The 3,906-nt window shown below is 43.0% G+C and overlaps 1 annotated feature.

Annotated features, from left to right (window-relative positions):
• Positions 3,156-3,450: an enhancer, noted in NCBI's record as "tiled region #11709; HepG2 Activating DNase matched - State 22:ReprW, and K562 Activating non-DNase unmatched - State 22:ReprW". NCBI's record gives its function as "activates a minimal TATA promoter and a strong SV40 promoter by Sharpr-MPRA in HepG2 cells, with weaker activation in K562 cells {active_cell/tissue: HepG2 | K562}" and the evidence as "EXISTENCE:reporter gene assay evidence [ECO:0000049][PMID:27701403]".

The raw sequence follows: 3,906 nt of genomic DNA, 5'->3' as shown, positions 1-3,906 counted from the left end.
TGCTTCTGCACCACCATTTTGGAACTGGAAGTCCTCTCAGTAAGCATCTTTATGATGGGTATTTCTGGACATTTATCTTGTTCCTTTTTGTTTGGAACATATTTCCCTATTTATTCATTCACCTTGAATATTTATTTATTAATTTACCTTGACTGTGTTGGTGTCTGCTCATTAGAAAAAAAAAGTCCACCTCTCCTAGTCTTCATGGACTGGCCTCATATAGGAGAATATCTTCATCAACCAGCCCAGCCAGAAATTCTGGGGCCTCAAACTTTTATTGCTAGTCCAACCTGCTTTCTTTATTTTCAGTGACTCCCAGGTATGTTTGGTCCAGTTGGTGCTCTGAGACAAGTGAAAAATGAAGCCAATTCCTTGGGAAGCCCCCCAAAAACTTAGATCATTAGACGCTGTCCAACTCTTTTCCTCCCCCAAGGAGCAGCTGGAATTTGAGTGTTGTTTTTTTTTTTCTACCTGCTCACTGTGCACCAAGCTGGGTGGCGGGGAGTGATGACTAATTATATGCTAGGTAAAAATTCTATCTTTCTTTCACTAGCCCCCAGGTGACTAGAATGCTAGGTTCCATTAATGCTCTGAGACAGGCAAGAAAGAAGCCAGTTCTTTAGGCAGCATCCAGAAAAGTTAGAGCATTGGATGTGTGGTCTCTTTCCCTCCCCACAGAGAAGCTGGGAGCTAGGGTTTTTCATTCACTAATTCTGTGCTGAGTGAGGAAATGGGGCTACGGAGACTGTCAGCCTAAACCTCTGTCTGTCCGCAGGGCACGGTGGCTCACGCCTGTAATCCCAGCACTTTGGGAGGCAGAGGCGGGCAGATCACCTGAGGTCAGGAGTTTGAGACCAGCTTGGCCAACATGTTGACACTTCATCTCTACTAAAAATACAAAAATTAGCCGGGCATGGTGGCGTGCCGCCTATAGTCCCAGCTACTCGGGAGGCTGAGGCAAGAGAATTTCTTGAATCCGGGAGGTGGAGGTTGCAGTGAGCCGAGATCATGCCACTCCAGCCTGGGTGACAGAGCAAGACTCCTTCTCAACAAGCAAAAAACAAAAAATAAAATAAAATAAACCTCTGTCTCTGTTTACCCTAGACCTCAGGCAGCTAGATTATGCTGGGTTCTATCAGCACTCCAAGACAAACTCCAGTCATTTGGACAGTGCCTGCAAAAGGTGGGGCATTGGGCATGCAGACCAACTCTTGCTGTTCCTTGGGAGAAGCTGGGAGCTAGGGTTTTTCATATGCTCACTCTGTGCTAAGCTGGGGTAGGAGCTATGGCAACTGTCAGCTCAAACCACTATCTTTACTCTCTTCTAGATGATTAGGGTATGCTGGGTCCTATCAGTGGTCCAAGACTGGCAAGACAGAAGACAGTCCTCAGGAACCTCTGAAAAAGCTGGGGCATTGTACATGCAATTCAATTCTTTCCCTATTCAGGGAGAGGCTGGAAGCTAGAGTCGTGGTTCTTCTCAATCTTATGGCACTGTGCCAGGGGTAAGGGTTGAGGTGAGAGGGCGTCAAATTTTCCTACTGGCTTTGATGTGTCAAGTTTTGCACTCACCCAGGGTGAAAGAGCCTCTCAACTAGTTTCTGTATTTCTCACAAAGGGAATTTGTCCATGAATTGTTGTTGAATCAGTGTATTTGTTGGGGGAAAGGAGAGTCTAGGGCCTCTTATTCCACCATCCTGCTGCCCCAGTACTTTTTAAAAACTTTTTTCAACCAGCAAATATTTACCGGACATCCATCCACTCTGCATCTGGCACTAAGTAGGTCTTGGGACACAGTAGAATGTAAAACAGAAATTGCCCCTGCCCTCAGAAAAAGTATATTCTAGTAGCATAGGCAGGCAGAAGCAAGTAAAGAAACAAATAAAATAATTACAAATTGCATAAGTTCTACCAAAAAACAATGAGGAGATGACACGCAGAATAACAGTGAAGTTTAAGGAAAGAGGAGGTAACATTTCAGCTGAGATGCAAAGAATAAGGCAAGAAGGCCATTAAAAGAGGTGTGCCTTTGTATAATTCCATTTCTAGAAAACATCCAGAAAAACAAATATATAGACATAGAAAGTAGATTAGTGGTTGCCTGGAGCTGGGGGTGATATGGAGAGTGACTGTAAACGAGTATGGGGTTTCTTTTGGGGATGATAGAATTGGATTGTGATGGTGGTTGTATAACTCTGTAAATACACGAAAAAGATTATTGAATAGTACATTGAAAACAGTTAAATTTTATGATGTAAAATTATCTCAGTAAAGCAAGAGAGGGGGGAAAGAAAGAGAGAATAATGACTGGGAAACAATCTTTTCTGAAGGCCCCCTGACCAGCTCTCATGAAACTCACAATGCTTCTCCCGGGTTGCTCAAGATTCTGATTCGTGAATTAAAGGGACTCTATAGGAGAAGACAAAGGGTTTTTTTTTTTTCCTTACTTATCTTTTGGGTTGCTCTGACTCAAAATAGAGAACATACATTAATTACTAAGAGTGCTACTTCACATGATCCTATTTGCATTATAAGTATACTGTTCCCGAATTGTGGTTCACATAAACAGAGAGAGAGAGAGAGGTGGGAATATTATCGCAGGTGGAGGGAACTGCAGGTACAAACGTTCTCATGTGGGAAGGCATGTGGCATGTGTGAGGAACAGAGAGGACACCCCTGATCTGGACACAGAGAGAGGTAGGAAAGTAAGAGAACTGAGCAGCCAGATCACGTAAGGTCTCCTAGGTCATGGTAAAAATCAAGTTGCTTTCAACTTTATAAAACACACCCATGCCATTATTTCCTAAAGTTATTCATGTCTTATTAGGTTGCTGCAAAAGTGATTGTGGTTTTTGTCATTACTTTCAATGGCAAAAACCACAATCACTTTTGTACCAACCTTAATAATAAAGAAAGGACAGAGTATAGAGAAATGATGCCAACCTGCTGTTTTATAACGTGCTGCCCCATACTTTCTCCCATTTGCTCTGCCCAATAACCCACCCCAAAGAATCTACTTTGTTAACTTCAGTTATCAGATGAGGAAATTGAAACAACTTGCCCAAGTTGATACAGCTATTAACATGAAACCTAGGAATTATTTTTATTTATGAATGAATTATCCTTACTTTTCTAATATCTGGCTTACCAAAATCCAGATTGTCAATCTCCCTGTATCAGTTATCTGTCACAGCATAACAAATTACTCTAAGATGTAGTAACTCAACCTTTAATATTGCTCAGGAGTCTATGGGTCAGCTAGGTGGTTGTGTTGACCTGGTCCTGACTCAGCTGATCTTCACTGGGCTTGCTCATGTGTTTGCAGTCACCTGGTTGGTCTAGGGTGACCTCACTAACATGTTGGTCATTGGCTGACTGGTCACTGGGGCAAAGGAAGTAACTGGGTCACATCCCTTTAATCATGCAACAGGCTGAGGTTTTTTACATGACAACAGCGAGGTTCCAAGAGAAGAAGTGAAAGCACGCAATGCTTAAAGACGTAGGCTTAGAAGGCCAGGCGGGGTGGCTCACGCCTGTAATCTCAGCACTTTGGGAGTCTGAGGCTAGCAGATTGCTTGAGCTCAGGAGTTTGAGACCAGCCTGGGCAACATGGCAAAACTGCATCTCTACAACAAGTATAAAAATTAGCTGGGCATGGTGGCACACTCCTGTAGTCTCAGCTGCTTGGGAAGCTGAGGTGGGAGGGGGCGACCGAGCCAGACCCTGTCAAAAAAAGAAAAAAAAACGACTTAGGTTTAGAACAGACACCTATCTCTTTTGCATTCTATTGGTCAAAGACAGTGACAAGGCCATCAGAATCAGGTATCTTTGCAAGGTATCTTTGCAATCCCATTTCACAAATAGCAAGAGGTAAGTTGTTCTTAAAGTACTAATGATTAGGAACTA

This window comes from Homo sapiens, chromosome 5 (assembly GCF_000001405.40).
Source record: "Homo sapiens chromosome 5, GRCh38.p14 Primary Assembly".
In the NCBI taxonomy this organism is placed as follows: Eukaryota; Metazoa; Chordata; class Mammalia; order Primates; family Hominidae; genus Homo; species Homo sapiens.
This window is presented reverse-complemented; position numbering and strand designations above follow the sequence as displayed.